General features: G+C 38.3%; 1 protein-coding gene across 5 annotated transcripts in view; it reads left to right on the forward strand.

Moving 5' to 3' along the window:
* FRY (FRY microtubule binding protein) overlaps window positions 1-18,552 on the forward strand; it is a 267,352-nt gene that overhangs the window by 40,247 nt on the left and 208,553 nt on the right. For all 5 annotated transcript variants that reach the window (XM_047429999.1, NM_001411012.1, XM_047430000.1 and 2 more), the window contains exon 2: window positions 6,814-7,013. In XM_047429999.1, coding sequence (XP_047285955.1) covers window positions 6,814-7,013 — 200 coding nt within the window. The remainder of the gene's footprint in view (window positions 1-6,813; window positions 7,014-18,552) is intronic.

Raw genomic sequence — 18,552 nt, forward strand, 5'->3', positions numbered from 1 at the left:
AAGCCCCTTAACCTCTCTGAATCTGCATGGTCTTATCTGTAAAAGGGAGATTAGCCTTCTAGGATTATTTTAAGAATTAAAGATACTAATTCGTCTGGAGATATCATGTAGATTCTGAAACTTGAAGGAACACAATGTGAGAACTGTAGGAGAATTAAAGTGTAAGTGAAAGGAGGAATGTATATAATCCATAAAAATGGGAGGAATATTTCACATTATCAGAATTTTATGGAAATTAATCAGAAATTAATTAAGCTTGCCTTTGGTTATACTTTTCTTCCAATGCAAAAATTGTTTTTCGGTATTTTTTTTTACATGATATTCTTTTCTTGGCCCACTTTAAAATAAGTAATTATTTAAGAATCATCTATCACTTCGTTAAGCAATCTTTTTGTGTTGCTGAAACTATTGATTTTTTTTGTCCCAACATTTTTGATTTCTTAATATTCTTCAGAAGAAAATAATTCTTTCTGTCTTGTTTGGTTGTTTCTTTTTCTTTTTATCCCAATTTACTTTACATGACTTTCAGGGTTTCTGGCCATTTGAGTATTTGCAGTACCTTTTTACATGCCATTTCTTAAGTTCCCTCATACTTGCTTTAATGGACAATTTGTTATTGCTCTATACACAGAGTGACATGTTCGCAAAGAAGCTGCATCACCCTTTATGTTTTATGAAATGTTCCTGTACTGCTGGTAAACAAATTAAGTCTTAGGAGAAAAGGCATTTGAGAGGGAAAGTGTGATTCTAAAGAAAGATCCCAGCTCTTGTTTACTAACAGGGTTTGCCTTCAGAACCTGAAAAATGAATGAAGTATTGAGAACTGGCAGAAAGAATAATTTATGTACAACCATGAACAAAGAAATCTCATAATTTACTCCTTTGTTGAACGATAAGATTACATTGATCTCTATAAAGTTAAGTTGTTTAATCAGATCACCTTTCTATGATGAGTTCTACTTTGAATATTTGGTTACCACATATAATCCCAGGAGCACTTAAAAGAAAAAGGAAGCCATTTTTTATTTCAAATACTCTGGGTAAAATTCCAGTAATGGGAGCAGCAGTAAAAGCAATGAGTGTTGAAAAATTAGCTCTGTGCTTGTCTGTCTTTGCAAGTTGGTGAAAAAGCAGGCCAAACATCTCTGCTTCCTGAGGAATGGAGTACTTTGTACAGGAAGATGGGAAAGCAGTGTGATCATTGGGCATTTTAGTTCATGCCCTTCACAGGCTGGTTAAAATTCTCATCTCCACCGGAATTGGCACACAGATATGGGGCAGGCCAAATGCATGGATCAGGAAAACAGATTCTGCCCGAGCCATGTGTGCCTGGATTTTCTTAGACACCAAGAATACACACAGTGTTCATTCCTTCCTGCGGCAGCCCCAGACTGTAGCACCTGAATGCCTGTAGGCAGATAGAGAAGAGCAGGTCCCTCTAGCCACTTACTCTGTTTAATTTTTCCTTGTTCTTTTAGAATTTATTGTAGTCTGACAGTGTGGTATTTGTGTGTATGTGGGCGGGTGTGTGTGTGTGTGTGTGTGTGTATGCACATGAAATGCTGGTTATGTTACCCCACCTCAGTACAACATAAGCTCCATTAGAGTAGGAACTATCACTTTGTTCACCAGTATCTTCCCAGTGCCTGGAACAGTGCCTGAAGCCTAGTCACTCATTAAATAAGTATTGGTTGAAATGAATGAGTAAGTCAGTGAACAATAGCTTCTAATGAAAGATGGTATTACTTCTCTGAAAATCTGATTGAGAAAACCAGTTGCTTTCCTGTAACATCTACGCCACCATTAGCCTCTAGGGCTCTTATATGAGGACGCTCATTTCATTTCAGTGTTATAATAAAAATGTAGCTGAACTATGAGCTGTGGAGGTGTTTATATTGGTGCTACAGTTAGGAGGGTAGTCTGTCCTGGAAATGTTGGTAACTTAGGGAAATTGTACTGAAGATTTAAACCAGCTAAGAGCAACCAGCCTAAAAATTAAGCTATAAGTCAGTGAAGTTGGGGGAAAAATAGTCAGTCATGTTCAAAAAGATCATCAGTCTGAATAGATATGCAGTCCGAAATAGATTTAATAAACGGAAAATGAATGGGCCCTAAAAGTATAAAATAGACTTCTCATAATTTAAGGAATGGGCCCTGCTTAATATAAAAGATAGAGACCCAGTGAACACGGGAAAACACTTCCTGAAGTCATCCAACAAAATCAATTAGGAACAGAATTTGGAATAAAAATAACAAAAGAACATTAACAAAACTCATTTAAGACAAAAGAAGGCAATGGAGAAAAAAATTAGAACGTGTTAAAACCAAGATTAAAATGTAAATGAGAAAATATAAAGAGAAGACAAATTTCAAACGGATTCAATAATTAGAAACCTAATTAATATATAAAAGTAATGCTCTTCTCCTCCACTCCACACCAGCCCCCACCACAGGAGCACTGGTTTGAATGACTTTTTAGAGACATTGAGCTGTTATATGACGATAGAAAGGACGAAGGAAAGGAGAATAAAGGCAGATGGAGTTGGAGCTAAAAAATTCATCACATGGATGCCACTGAACCATACACTTGAAAAAGACTAAGATGGTAAATTTTGTCTACTTTACCACAATTAAAAATAAATAAAAACAGATTTTAAAAAAGTCATTATATGCAAAAAATTTTAATGGGGGTTTTTAATACAACAAATTAAGCAACAGGAACAATTGTTTCTTCAACAAGTATTTGGATGGGGAAGATGTGATAAAGATTCTGTCAGGATCCTTTCATTGGGAGAGATCCCTATTTCCAGAGACCTGGCATGAAGAGAAGGCTGACCCTTGGGGCAGCTGGATGGCACTGGCAGGCAGGGCCCAGACCAAGCCAGGTGGAGGAGACCATACTGACCTGGACCCTGAAAGGTAGGAGGATTTGCTTGCAGGACTGGGTAAAAAGCAAGGAAAGCACCCCAGGTAGAGAGAAGTTGATTCAGTCATTGCATTTGCAAACCTGGAAAATGGTGCCTCAGTGTGGCTAGTACTGAATCCATGTTTTATTTTGTTTTTTCAATCAAAAATAAATTTCAGTTAAAAATCAGACCTATGAAGGAATAGATTTAATTCTTGAGAGCTAAATTCTTAGAGGCAGCAAATTTTTCCCTTTTATACACCAAAAGTTTTTTTAGTTTTATCTTTTTGAAATGGAAACCTTTGGAAATTTATATTAGTCTTTTTCCCACCTTTTTTACCTTTCTGTGAGACTTAAGGTCATCATAATGAACATAAATTGTGACAGCAGTCAAAGCCCTCAAGCCTGTGAGACTGTCATATTCAGCCAACTGCATTTTTAAGTTCTGGCAGCTTTCTAAATTATGCAATTTTGTTTCTTCTTTTGCTACTAGCATTTCTACCCATAGAAGTTACACCCCTCCCTTGTAATTTTCTGTTTCCAGACTACTGTGAATTTAGAAACTAGACAAATTATCTTATGTATAGATTAAGGGCAAGCAAATGCTGTGAGAGGGTCTGATGATTTTCTTTCTAATGATAATGCTCTAATATTTACACTAGTGTGGACTTTGTGACTCAAATTTGACTACCGGGGAACATGAGTTTCCTGGTCTGCACTATATTGTCACCAAATAACTCAAGTATTGAAAGGTGCCATGTCCTAATGTTTACTTTTGAAATTATCCTGAGGCTAGGATTTGCCATGAATTAATTAGGGTAGGATGAAGAGGGTTACTGAAACTTGGAAGTGGACCTAGTTCAAGTACACTTACCCCATTAACTTTCATGCATCTCCAGATGCCTACGCTGATCTGTGTTTGAAACTCAGAATGATGAGTGACACCCCACCTTGAATCATTTTCTGCTGTGGTACAGGGCTCTGCTGGGCTAGGATAGTTCCAGCTCAGTAAGGCTGTTCATATAGTTTTATCTTTTTCAATATCACATTTGTATTCACAAAGATGTCTGGCTTTGAAGTTCAGGTGAATAATATTTTTTATGATAGCAGTGAATTGGCTCTTCAGCTGTTTAAATGGAGGATTTGTCTGAGAGGTTTTCTGGTATCTGAATTTCATCTCTCTAGTTCAAAATGCAGCCTTGTAGGAGGACTGTCAGAGGTCACTCTCATGAAAATGTTTTCACTGTAGTTAAGACTTTTAGGCCCCAGAGTCATGCAATTATGGATCTTGTCTTGCAATAACTGTATATATTATATCAACCCAATTATTGCTGTCATCTAGAAATGGATCAAATCCTGTGGAAACCCAAAGATAATAAAAAGTCATACTCCAAATAGACATTTTAGGTTTATATCCCAGTCTCTGGTTCTGTGGCATGATGCCTTTGATACCTGAGGAAGATATCTTGAGACATTATGTCCTTCTCTAAGCTGGTGTTGGGGAGGTGTCCTACTTCCACAAGGTGCCTGCACTGGGGAAGTAGGAGGTGAAGCAGAGGAGTGGCCAGGACCTCATTTTCATCACTTGATTTTCAATATGCCCCTTTGGAATAAATAGTGCCTTTTAGTGAACTGCTTGCGGTACCATTTAATTAATGACTCTTCTATCACAACTACTGCATCCTTTCTTAAAAGACTCTGACATATTGCATCTCCTTATGTAGTTCCTATTCCCAGGAATCCCTTTAAGACCTGCAGAAATAAAGTCAGGGGACATTTTCAGTTAGTTATTTAAGGAGATTTATTGAGTATTATCTGTGCAAAGAACTTTGTATGACATCTGGGAGTCTACAGTCTTATTAGGGAACTTTTAGGAGATATAGCTAGAAGAGTATATGGTTTAATTACAGGGCCGACCCTAGACAAAAACCTTGTCTCCAATCAATAATTACTTTACTTAGCAGCAGTCTATTGAGCCTTTCATAGGTAATGTAGGATATACACGACAAAGCAAAACACCAAACAGTTTGGGTTAAATGTTCAACTCTTGTAAAGCAAACTGATCAGTGAGGACTGGCCTAGTGGAGGTAGGTGTTACGGAGATGAGACTAGAAGTGGCTCTGAAAGAAGAGGAGGAAGAGATGGGCAGAAAAGAATGGAAAGGAGCTGCAGAAAAGAAAGAAGGAAGAATAAGTGAAGCCAGTGTGCTCACAGGCCAATGAGGGCATCAGCAGGACTTGGGTGAGGGTGTGGAGGCAAACTACTAAAGGCCCTCAAAACCAAGCCAGGGTGCTGAGGCTGGATGATGGTAATTGAGAGCTATTGAAAGTTTTGAGCAGAAAAGTGTTATGATTAAAGCCATGCAAAAGAAAGATTAGTCTGATATGGAAAACAGATGAAATAATGTCCGCAAAGAAGTTATTAAAATAATCTAGCCATAGGTCTCCAAGGGCTTGGATAGGATGCGGCCAGGGGGAATGGAAAGGAAACGAGATAATATGCAAGACACTTTATTATATTTTTGGAATTGCGAGGCCATAGTCTTACAGTTTAGTGGTAGCTGAGATCTGGAAAGACCGTTCAGATATAAGGGGCTCCTCAACTGTTATGTCAGGTTAAATGAATTACAAAGGAAGGGTAGGAAATGTGAGGGAGAGTCGTCTGTGTAACAATGGGGACATGTTTGTAATTTAATAAAATAAACAAAACGTTATATTGCTTCCTCAGAACTTGGCTTGAGACAGAAAGAAGGCAAGAGAAGCCTTACATTTATTTGTAGTTATGAAAAGAGTATCCAACTTTCATGGAGAAAGAACTTTGTTTTGCCTTTAATATTGATGACACCACCATTCTCTTGATGTCGCATCCAGTGTCCAAACTGCAAACCCACTTTTTACTTGACTCTTTCCCTTAATCTCCATATCCAGTTACCCAAAGCTAAATACTTATGTTTAACTATACGCTTCCTGTTCTCAGCATTCCCAATGCCTCTATCCCAAGCCCACTTGCTCTTACGTTTCTTTCATTGGATATTAATAACTGACCATCTTACAAGGGCTTGTGTGGGAGGGGTGGTAGAATTTAACATATCAAAGTACTGTAAAAAGTAGAGACTTGAAACTGCATTTATGAATTCAAAAAAAGTTTAGCAACTATCTAATTAAAACAGTGTCTGACTCTGTTGCATTCTGAACAGAGGCCACTCATCAGGAGCTTTAATAGCTGACTCTGTTGAAGATATAGTACTAGTGGGGAATCAACATATTTTATAAAGGAAGCACAGAGGTGTCTCAACTTGAGCCAAAGGGTGGTGAAAGTGAAAAGTTAAACCCAAACCTTGGACGGCAAACAGAGCACTGCCTGAGCCTCGTATCTTTCAAGAGGTGTGTCCCTTTCTGGAGCAAGAGCCAGCTTGGCTTCTAAAAATTGATTCTTGGAGACTTCTGGAAGGAATGACCCCAGAGTCCTTTCCATTATTAGAATGAAGCACAGAACACAGAGAGCTCTTGACCATGAGGAAAACCTGGACAAGAAATCACTTTTTTTCCCATATATGTTTTCTACCCATTTTCTAAATGGGACTGCTGTTTCCGTAGAACCAAAAAAATAAGCCAAAAACATCTTAAGTATTGTAAGATTGATCAGCTATATTATGAGCTTCCAATATAATTTACCTAAAGCAATGTAGTGACTAGAATCTTGAGATGATCAAATGTGGTATAACACAAACATAGTATAATGAAAATAATAAAATTCTGACACCATTTCCAAAGAATAAGGCCAGGTTATAATATTAAGTGTGACTTTCTTGATATGATTCATATCCTGATATTTATGGTTTAACACAGTCCATCTGAATATTTATGACATTATTATCAGCCAGTAAGAATGCCCATTCTGTTTTTCAGCTTCTCCCGTTGGCAACGGTTACATCAAGCCTCCGGTTCCACCTGCTTCTGGCACGCACAGGGAGAAAGGGCCGCCAACCATGCTACCCATCAATGTGGACCCAGACAGTAAACCAGGAGAATATGTCCTCAAAAGTTTATTTGTCAACTTCACCACTCAGGCTGAACGCAAGATTCGTATCATTATGGCAGAGCCCCTGGTGAGTACATGCCGTGGAAACTGCCTCTTTGAAAATTCATCTGTATGCTGAATATACTAGATTTAAACACTATAACAAAAGATGGATTGCTTTTCCTCTGGTTTGTAAAGGTTCTTTAATATCATAGGTAATGTTTTAAAGATAATAGTTAGGTTCCCTGATCTAAGAGAAACAATTTGAGTGTTGAGGATTTTAAAACGATCTTCAGCAAATACTATTCAGTAGCATGCTTCACTGCTGCATTTTGGACTAATAAGCTTAATTTAACAAGAAGAAGTATCAAAGAAGTGTCAATCACAGAAAAATTGTGTTCAGAGTCTCTGTGATATATATATATCTCATATATATATATGGCAAAATCTTTTGTCCAGTTTTTAAAGTAGATGACAAGAAAAATCATTTTGTTCAGGTGGCTGTGTGGACTTCGAGTTTGAGAAGTTAAGGCCTTGGTACCATATTGTCAGAGAAAGTGTTTTGATGAGTCGTTCAGAAATACCACTTCCATTTCTAAAACTTGGAAGGCTATAAATTCTTGACTGACTTACCTTTAGTTCCCTCATTAGACACATGATGCCCTTGGATGTGAGTGTCTTCAGTTGCAGATGCTTCTGCTAGAAAATAAGGCAGGCATGAGTCTGCCTTACATTGATTGCTCTAATAGGACTCTAAAGAGCACTGAATCTCTCCAAAGGACAGTCAGGAAGGAAGGAAGCGCAATTGGTAGATTCAGATTACTTGTTTTCTAACCTTGGCAGGGCCACACACCATAAAAGAAAAGGAAAGGAATTCAGAGTGACGCAGCTGTTTCTGTGAAGGGCGACTTTGTACCTCCTGTGAGGTTACTGGGGCAATAAGAAGATAATCAGAGGTTTGCTTTGCAGAATAATAACTTAAAATAATTAAATACAATATTCTTAAGCCTGTAATACACATCTCTGAAAATATGTAATAGATGATGCACATCATCAGTTAAAAATGACCCTTACAAGAATTACAACATAAGGTTTGGGAATCAGAATTCAAGAATGTTTGTTAAGTGTGTTTACCTGAAAGTTACAAACTTTGCACATTAAAATTTTTATTGTATCAGTGGATGTTATATTTATCCATTCTGTTCATAAAGTTCTCTTCATTTATTGAATTTCCATAATTATGGGAAATGTTTCTTGCTTTTACAGTTTAAATCATCTAAACTCATCCTTACTACAGGACCTTTATTTCCATTCACTCATGTTTTTATGTTTCTGCTCCTCTTACTACTAATAATAGCTGATATCTGTGGTGTACTTACTATGTACTAGGCATTGTGCACAACTTATTACCTCCTTTAATCTTCACAATGACCTTAGGTAGATAGCATTTATTTCCTGCTTACAGATGGGGAAAGTTGGCACAGAGAAAGTTAAGTAAATACTCAAGGTCACACAGTGTTGATTTAAACTCAAACTAGGTGGCTTCAGAACCCACATCTGAACCCCTCTATACTTTATTGTCAGTCTTTGCACGGTCCTCTTCATGTAGAGGCACTGTTGCAGATACTGTTGCTAACTTCTTAAACCAACACAGGACTCTCCTGTAACTTGAGTCAGCCACCTCAAGTATCCAAAGTCCCATTGCCCAGAACAGGGCTGACCCTTGGAGCCTCCAACCCCTTGAGAGACACTGAGGCAACCCAGACTCCTCCCCTGGTGGAGGGAGGGAAGCTACCTCCATTTCAGAGGATGTGGGTCAGTTTAAAGAGAGAGTGGTGAGGCACAATAAAGATTCATTTCACCCTGTAGCCCTAGAAAAGTGCAAAAATGACAGGTCTAGTCTCTTTGAAATTGTGTATCCTAATGCATTTTCCTGAGGAGCTGTGAAGTTGTACAAAAGTTCAAAGAGATGCTTACACAGCTAGGTCCTGACACCTTTTCAACCATCCATGTTTCCAAAATAATAGTTTACTGTTTTTTAAGAATTTGTGAAGTAAAATAGTTTGGATTTAACATTTTCCCTCTTAACTCAGGTTGGAATTTGTTTGCGTGGAGTTTGTTTTTTCTTCTTGGAATAAGGATTAGATCTGAAAAATGTACATGTGCCATAGCATTCTTTTAATAGAAGTAGACATTTTTGTTCCTCTCTATGAAACAACTAAAATGTCCCCAAACAAGAAAAAAATTTTTAAGTGTAAGTTCTTGTCATAAGGAAATCTTCCTTATGTGCTTAGAGTGAGGGATTCTTCTGGGTGTTGATGGCCAACAAGACACACTTGATGTTTTTAGCTGAAGAGATGAATCTAATCAGTTTTTAGTATTATTGTTTTTTATAAAAAGAGACTTTTTTGCTCTATCACCCAGACCTCAGTGCAATGGCGCAATTTTGGCTCACCACAACCTCGGCTTCCCGGGTTCAATTAATTCTTGTGCCTCAGCTTCCTTAGTAGCTAGGACTATAAGCGTGCACCACCACACCCAGCTAATTTTTATATTTTTAGTAGAGACGGAGTTTCACCATGTTGGCCAGCCTGGTCTCGAACTCATGACCTCAGGTGATCCTCCCGTCTTGGCCTCCCAAAGTGCTGGGATTACAGGCGTGAGCCACTACCTCTGGCCTTTTTATTCCCCTTTGATTTTTTGGCAGAAATGTAAGCTTCTGTGTCATATTCTTTTCTTGTCTGCTGAAAAATGCTTAGTAATTTTCTGTCCTTATTTTTGCCTACTTGTAGGCCAGCAAATGTGAATGGATTCAGAGGCTTGTCAGCTGATTCTAGAAGTGTGAATGGGCATTTGGCATTTTGTCCTGTAGCTGCAACAAGAGGTGTTATTTTTGATGTATGTAGAGTACACTTAAGGTGAATTCTATTAAATGTCCTCTACTATTTCTCTTGTTGAGTTAGCTTCTTTTACAAAGACATTGAATGCTTTAAAACCCTGAATTTATGCGGGTTTGTATCAAATCACAAAATTGTATTCTATTATTCTTAACTAAATACGACTTGTATGGGGATGGCAAAGGTAATTTTCAAAAACTTGGAAGTATAGATTTACTATTTGGGGGACTACTCAGGAATCTGTATTTTTCAGTTTTATTTTTAAAAGACTAACTCGGAATTTCACACCCATTAGCTTGTGTGGAGCAGATTATGTACAACTTTAAATTAAAGCTTAAGGTTTTATTTATGACTTTGCAATATCCAGATAGCCAACTTTAAAAAAAAAAAAAAAAACAGGAAATAAAAATGTTCCACAAAACAAATTTTAGATTTGTTTCTTTGTAAATATCTTTCTCTTGTTCTGCAGAATGGCTCTTTGTACCCAAAAGATGCTCAGGTCATATTCATGAATATTTATGGATAAGTCAATAATTTTATTCTATTTTTATTGCTTCATGGAGACATTTAATAGCATTTGTTCTTGTCCAGTCTTATCATTATTTCACCTTTCCCAAGCAAAGTGTTCTAAACAAGCTAATGGGGTCATCTGTGTCTCTTTTATATTTTTATTTCAAAAGATAAAAACTGCAGAAAATAAATAATGGATACAATTCCTTCTTGCATCCTCCTCCTTCCCTCTGAACTCAGTTTTCTTCTTCCCAAAGTGAATCTTTTTCAGTTCTTTAAGTAAGAATCAGTGGGTGGTAAATTACTCAGTCTTGTTCATCTGAATGTCTTTATTTCTCCCTCATTTATCAGTGATGGTTCAGCTGGGAATAGAATTCTAAGTTGAAATTCATTCTCCCTCTGACATTTGAATCTTTATTTCACTGTGTTGCCTTATCATTGCTGTTGAAAAGTCTGTAGTGAATTTGTTATTTCTTTGTGGGTTCTTTACTTTTTTCCCTGTTTACTTTTATAGTTTTTTTCTTTGTCTTTGGTATTCTGAAGTTTCACTACACTGTGTTTGGATGTGCATTTATTTTTATTTTCTTGTTGGAGACTCTTGTGCTTCTTAAATTGAGGATTTATATCTTTTCATCAATTCTGGAAAACTCTTAACTATTAATTATATGAATGTCATCATTTTTCCATTTTCCCTCTTCTCTTTTTCTGGTACTTCTATTTGATGTAAATTGGACTTTCTTATGCTACATTGCATATCTTTTTACCCATCTTTTATTATTCCACCTCTTTGTCTCTTCTGCATTCTGAGTAGTTTTTTCAGATCTGTCTTCCAATTCATTAATGTTCTCTTAGGCTATATAACCTGTTTTACCTACCTATTGAGAATTTTAATTTTGATGACTATATTTTTTATTCCTGGAAGTGCTATTTAGTTCTCTTTGAAAGTCTACTTAGGCTTCTTATTTTCATTGTATTTTGTTTCTTTTTTAAGATTACAACTTTGCTTTTATGTCTTCAATCACCTTGAATGTGTCTTTATTGTTCTGTTATAACACTACTTCTTGTGTCTGCTAACTCTTCTGTTTGTTGTGCCTGCTAATTCTTGCCCATGATGGATTTCTTTTTATGTACTTTGAAATTTTTTGTTGTGAATTCTTTCATTGAGCCTCTTTTTCTGTGAGTTTTCCTTGCATCCACGGTTGTGGGAGTGTTTCTCCAGCACGGTTTTGCTTTTGCCCCTTCTGTTGCCCAGAGTTATTGCTGTCCGGGGCCAAATATCTGGTTACTTTCTGCACCTAGAAGGTGACACAACTGTATATCTCAAACTTGTAAGACTTTGGCCTGTGGTTTCAAATTCTTGGATGTGAATTTTTTTTTCTTGTTATTTTACATAGAACTCAACCAGAGACCACTGGGAACATCGTTTCATCTTCTTTTAATGGTGCATAGATTTTTCTCTAGTCCATTGTTTAGGACCAGACTTTATGTAAGGCATCTTATTTTCTATGTCCCACCTCTCAGGGCCCACATCACTGTTTCCTATCCCCCAGTTGACAATAAAGAAAGCCTCTAGGATAATGAAACAAACAGTCCTCTCCCTGGATAGCTACTATGCTACCTCACTCCCTCCTGTTTTTCCTTTCCCTTTTCCTTTCTTGTGAACTCATTTCTATACCTTTTTTAAAAACAAAAATGTTATATTTCATTCAATATTTCCAAGCACTTACTCCGTGTGAGCTTTTGGGTTATCTGAGCCCATCGTCCTGCCTGTGTCCTCTGCAGAATTCTCAGTTTGCTTTCCATGCAGATAGAGCCAGAGTTGGCCTTTGCTCCCTGAAGCTCATGGTGAGGTGGGGTGTCCTCAAGGTGAATAAAAGGAAGAATAAGGGGCCTGTCACCAATTTTTCCTCCTCTGATCTCATCTGTGAATCTTCTCTAAATACAACCCTGTCCATTACATTTCTTGCACAAAACTTTCATTTCATTCTTTTTCACTCCTTGATTTGGCCCAAACTGATCTTACTCCCACCACATACCTTTATGAACCCAGGTTTCTTGTCTGCCACCATGCGTTTATGCATGCTGACCCCTCTTCCTGGAATGCCACTCAGCTTCTCATTCTGCCTACCCTTTAAGGCCCAATCCAAAATCTCATCATCTGAAAAGCTTGGCTTGATTTCTTCCCTGCTATCTCCACACAATCATGCTTATGATAAAACAACTTATACGTATCTGCAATTCTTTACTTTATCTAAGCTACTGTATCATTCTGTCTTGCAAACTATTCTGTCCTCATTGAATTACAGTAATTAGTATAGACTAAACTAGTAAATACCAGAATATATTACAGGTTTTAAGGGTAAACATTTTATGATACTTTCAGTTGTGCATGTGCATACCAGACCATAGTGTATTTTTTATGGTGGTGGGGTAGGGGCAGAGATTTTCTCTTAAGTTGAAGAAGCAATGTGTTAGCCTATAAGTTCCTTGGAGGCAATATCTGTGTGGGATGCATCTTGACACATACACACATGCAAACACACACACACACACACACACACATATCCCATGTCCCCATGTTTAGGACAGTGTTTGCGTATCATGGACAGTACATGCTTTTTGAATGAATGAATGAAACATTAATATAATAGCTTGAAAAGAATGTCTTTATTGGAACCTGTGTGTTTCCAGAGGTCATCTTGCCAACTCTAAACTAATAAACTAATAATAATAGATTATGTTCTGTTCTTTGCACAGATGAATGCCCTAAAATGTGCTGAGTACAAGAGGCATTGATTCTCAGCCTCCTACTTTCAGGCATCTAAGGATACCTCTTTATTCATTGATATGGTCACCTTCTCCTCACACTGACTCCAGCAACGGGTGACTCTTAGTGATCAGACACAGTATCAGAATATATGCTCTCATTCTCTATGAGTCTGTCTATATAGCATCTATTACTGTAGTCACAGGCAATTACCTTCTCAGTAAGCTCTTTCCAAAAACAAGACTCTCCAGTTTTTCTGAATTCAAGTGCTGCTATCAATTTTGACTTTGTAGATCAAATGGACAAAAGAGATAAAGTTAAAGACAAAACAGCTTTTCATTCTGACTGATCCGGATTTGACTCCTGCTTCCACCTCTTTAGTGTTGTGTGACCTTGGACCAGCCAGTCAACCTCCTTTTTTTCTCATTTGCAAAATGGAAGTAACAGTACCCAGCTCACAGGGTGGTTGAGAGGATTAGAGGGAGTGTGTGGAGCCCCTGATACACTCCTGAGCATGTAGGAGATGCTCATTTGTCCTCATCACCACCCTCCTCATTATCCTCATTGGAGGGCTGAGATGAATTTCTGGTATATTTCCTCAGAAGTCAGCCTGGTGCTTCCTCTCTTTGTGTTCACGCAAACATAATGGAGGCTTGAGCAGGGGACTTGACTGTCTCCTGTTGCCATTTATCAATACTGTCAGGTGCCTGTCCTGAGCTCTGCCATGGCATTGACAGAGACACAACCACAGCTCCTTTCAGCAGACCTGGTCTTAGCCCTCCAGGTGCTCATGCTTTGGGAGATGACAGAGGCAAACAAAGTACTTAAGAGAAGACAACACCCCCAACGATCTCACTGTATTTCCAGCAAAATACTTGAGTCCTACCCAGGTGTGAATTGTGAAGACCTAGGCGGTAAAACCAGAGATTTGAGGTAAGTCCGCCTCTGAGGGTTTTCAAAGGCTTTCAAAGAGGAAATTTCATTGGTTCTTGAGAGTAGGGGTCTCAGAAAAAAATAAGAACCGCATAATGGCCAGGCAGCCCAAAATATGAAAGGCTGGATTACTCAGCTAAGTAAACCAAGTTTAGAAAATTTCAAGAATTTTCAATCACACTTCTTAGGCTTTTGTCCACGCCCCTCCCTATAACTTGACCAATACACAAGAAAATTGGTTTTTTATTATAGCCCTGCCACTAACCTGTGCTTCTGGCAAAGTCACCTACGTGTGATCTGTCATTGTTTTCTCGTCTATGAAAGGATAGCAGCCAGGCCATTTTCACTCTAGTGTATAAAACAAATGAAATAAAAGCAGCATTCACTCTCAAACCCCTGGGTTTAAACTCTTAAATTCCCTGGGTTTAAATCCCTGGGTTTAAACTCACTTATTAGTGAGTCTGTCCAGGTTTAATCTCCCATTGTCCCTTCCAGGAGCTGCAGTGGAAGCTAAATTGGGGATTGGGCCAGGAATTCCATCTGGATCTAGTCTATCAGCATAAAATGTCATCGGGAAGAAGAAAAAGAAATTCTAACTTGCCTGACAAAGAATTACTCAGAAAGAAAGTAATTTACTGTGTTTTGATTTTGAAACCTGGAAAAACGAAAAGTTTTTTTTAAGTCTACTTGACTTAAAAAAAAAATCTAACTTTAATCTTGTCCTTCAGCAGAGACTAAGAATGAGAGCTGTGCTTATCTTCATCCAACACCCTGGAATTCAAAAACACTTTTTATGACGAAAGATGAGTGAAAATGGGGATTTTCATTATTGAGGTTGCTTGAGCCTTAGTAGCCTTGTTCACAAAATAGTTAACGGACAAGATGCAGGCAGGATATTTTAGACATTGCCCCTGTGCTGAGTTAGGAGCACAGGTGTGGGCTGACAGAGTGATAATTCATAAAGGTGCTAACTGTGTCATGCTGGAATGGAGGCTTAAAAATAATAGAACATGATCTAGCTGGTTTGCTAACATGAAAGAAGTAAACTCAAAGTAACACAAACTATTTTCTTGGGGTACACAGTCTGAAGAATCCAGGATGCCAAACTCTATTGCATCACACATCATGAATCTGTAATGAAATATGTCATGCTTAAGAACAAACCTGTAGGAACATCAGTCATGGCCAGCCGGCACAAACACTGAAAGGCCAGGCAATTAGCTAATGACAGCATTACTGCTTGCTAGTGTTGTTCCAGGTTCAGGCAGTAACGTTGTTGACATACCTTTGTTCCTTGGCCCAGAGTCTGAGGCTTCCAACTCCTCCTGTGTGTTGATGTTACAAAGCTGGCATCAGGACAACTCTCCTGTTACCCCTAAAGTTAAGTAGGACGCTGTGCTGTAATAAGGACACTGGTGGCCCACCACCAACAGATGGTATATGATGAATGGTTCTAGTCATTTTGATGAACGGGACTGTGGGTCTAAGTAAGCAAGTCCTTTGGCAAGTGACATACATACTCATCCCAGCTTCCTCTTGTGATTTTAGACCATATCTGATGAGAAGTAAGAGACTGAATTTAGGATACACCCTATTTTTAGGTGTAAAAGAGGTTTTTTCACCTCTGGGCCATCTAGAGATTGAACATTCATCCATAGTCTTGTATTTCATTCATTCACATGAGTGATGTGTGTGCAGACTTCTAGATATCAGAAAATATCAGATCCTTTCATCCGGAACCCTTTTTAGTATTTTAGTAATTTGTGAATTGGAAATTCTGCTGTGCTAAAGGACAGAATGACTACCTCTAATTAAGTTTGGATCTTTATATGGCAGATCTTCATAAAACTGATTGTAATTTACTAATCATCTTCATAGGCTTATCACCATTTACTAACCTCAGCCATATGATATTTCATAATATTTTATCATGCCCATTTGCAAGTTGGTTGTTTTTCTGCACTGCTCTACATGCCAATCTTCCTATACTAAGCAAAGGTTACATGTCTGTTGACTAAGGATGTGTAAATAGCAGAAATGCCAGCCTTAATGTCTTTCTGCACTGTGGATTCCAGTCAGCTTCCCAGAAGGATAATCAGCTAGTCTTGTTGGTCAAACTCCTCTTTAAATAGAGGCTGCTGTTGCTTCAACAGACCAAATAAGGGAAATATAGAGTAAAAGTAATTTCATGTAGCTCCCTGTTGAGTGTAGTGATAGAATCAAAGCAATGCTGTCCTGAAAAGAGACTAAAACATTGCTGGTCAGATAGGGAATATTTATATCACACTTGACAACATACTGGCTAGTTTTCAAATTATAAATAAATAACTTTTAAAATAGCTGTTTCTTAGCAAAACAGCTTAGCCTGGAACGTCCCTTAAATAATCTATAAAGACATTCACCAAAAACTTGAAAATTCACCCTAACCCAGAAACATAGCATTGTTAGTAGCTAAAAAGATTCAATTTAACTGCTGAATGAGGTGATCTTTCAGATGAGCTCATAAGTTTGTTTTCTTTATCATGAGTATGCTTGGAGACATGTAGATGAAACACATTTCTTCTGTGGCTCCTAAATGGAACTTTTTCAGATGTGAAATGAAATTTAATACACCACCATAGTTTGATTGAACCTTATAGCAAATAAATGATGTGAAAATATCACCAGGTAATAAAAAATATCAGAGGGCTTTTTACTTCAATTTAATAGTATCCAATTCAATTCATTCATGGATAAGGCCATAATTTTTATTTTTATTTCTGGTGACTTTATGAAGAGATTATCGAAGTTTCCTTTTTTTGAGAATACAAAACCAGACAAAGGTAATTCCTCATTTCGGTCTAGTTTTTCTGATGATATGTTCTTTGTACTATTTACAAAGACATCCTTTTTAATACAAACAAAAGATCATCTGGAAGTATATGTTTTAGAGTGACAGAAAATACCAATAAAAATACGTTCAATAATAATGGCATAATACCAAGTAACAATGGCTCATTCCTTAAGGTCACTGTGATGTAATATTGCTGTGTTTCCACACAACATTTTGCATTTTGACATTCCTGAAAATCATCAGTACAGTTTTCAGCAATAGCAAGTTTTACTATAGCATTGTAGCAATTTTAACCGGCACAAATTTTGATTTCTACGGTCATGCTAACAATAAGACTTGTTTTATTAGGTATTTTTACTGTTGCTTACATACATATCTAGTATATTCTGACTTTTAAAATTTCTTAAAACACAATATTCTATTTGATAATATTTCCTGATGCTTTTGGGAATTTCTACTCAATTCCTAAGTTGTAATCACATAGGTTGAAGGCAGGGGGGTTGGAATATTCCTGTAGGCTTTCCCAAGATGATTCAGCCATGAAGAATGTGAACATTCAAGGAAAAGACTATGCAGGCCACAGAGAAGGAATGTCTGGTGGGCACAGTGGCTCACACCTGTAATCCCAGCACCTTGGGAGGCTGAGGTGGGAAAATTGTTTGAGTCCAGGAGTTTGAGACCAGCCTGTGCAACGTGGTGAGACCCCCCATCTCTATCTACAAAAAATAAAAACAAAAAAATTAGCCAGGCGTGGTGGCACATGCCTGTGCTTCCAGAGGCTGAGGTGGGAGGACCATTTGAATGAGGCTGCAGTAAGCCGTGTTAACACCACTGCTCTCCACTCCAGCCTAAGTGACAGAGTGAGACCTTGTCTCCAAAAAAAGAAAAAAAGAAGAAGGAATGTCTAAGAAGTAGGAGGAGAACAGATGGGAGGTGGAGGGCAATTCAAGTGGAAAGAAGGGAGTGAACATTGCAGCTAAAAGATCCAGCATGAAAAATGGCCACCAGATTTGCCATTTGGAAAGTTACTGGGGTCCCTAGGGAGACTAATTTTAGTGGTGAAAGAAAGGCCAGATTGCAAGTAGTTGAAGACATTTTGAATAGGAGAGGAAAGAAAGACAGGAAGTGTAGACCACCCATTGGAGAACTGAATATGAGAAGAGGGTTAGAAAGGAAACCACAGCCGGGCGCTGTGGCTCATGCCTGTAATCCCAGCACTTTGGGAGGCCGAGGCGGGTGGATCACGAGGTCAGGAGCTCAAGACCATCCTGGCTAACACGGTGGAACCCCGTCTCTACTAAAAATATTAAAAATTAGCCAGGCGTGGTGGTGGGCGCCTGTAGTCCCAGCTACTCGGGAGGCTGAGGCGGGAGAATGGCGTGAACCCGGAAGTCGGAGGTTGCAGTGAGCCGAGGTGGCACCACTGCACTCTAGCAGCCTGGGCGACAGAGCTGGACTCCATCTCAAAAAAAAAAAAAAAAAAAAAAGGAAACCACAGCCAGAGGTGGATGTGTGGTCAAGGAAGGCACTACGATGAAAAGGTTTAAGCATGTTGATAGCTGAGAGAAAGACCGAAGAGAAGGGAAGGGTGGAAGACAGGGGTCACTGAGGAGCTGGCTGATGGAGCCATGTCCTGAAGGAGATAGGAAAAGATCCATCCACACACACTGTAGTAGACACTGAAAGT

This window comes from Homo sapiens, chromosome 13 (assembly GCF_000001405.40).
Source record: "Homo sapiens chromosome 13, GRCh38.p14 Primary Assembly".
In the NCBI taxonomy this organism is placed as follows: Eukaryota; Metazoa; Chordata; class Mammalia; order Primates; family Hominidae; genus Homo; species Homo sapiens.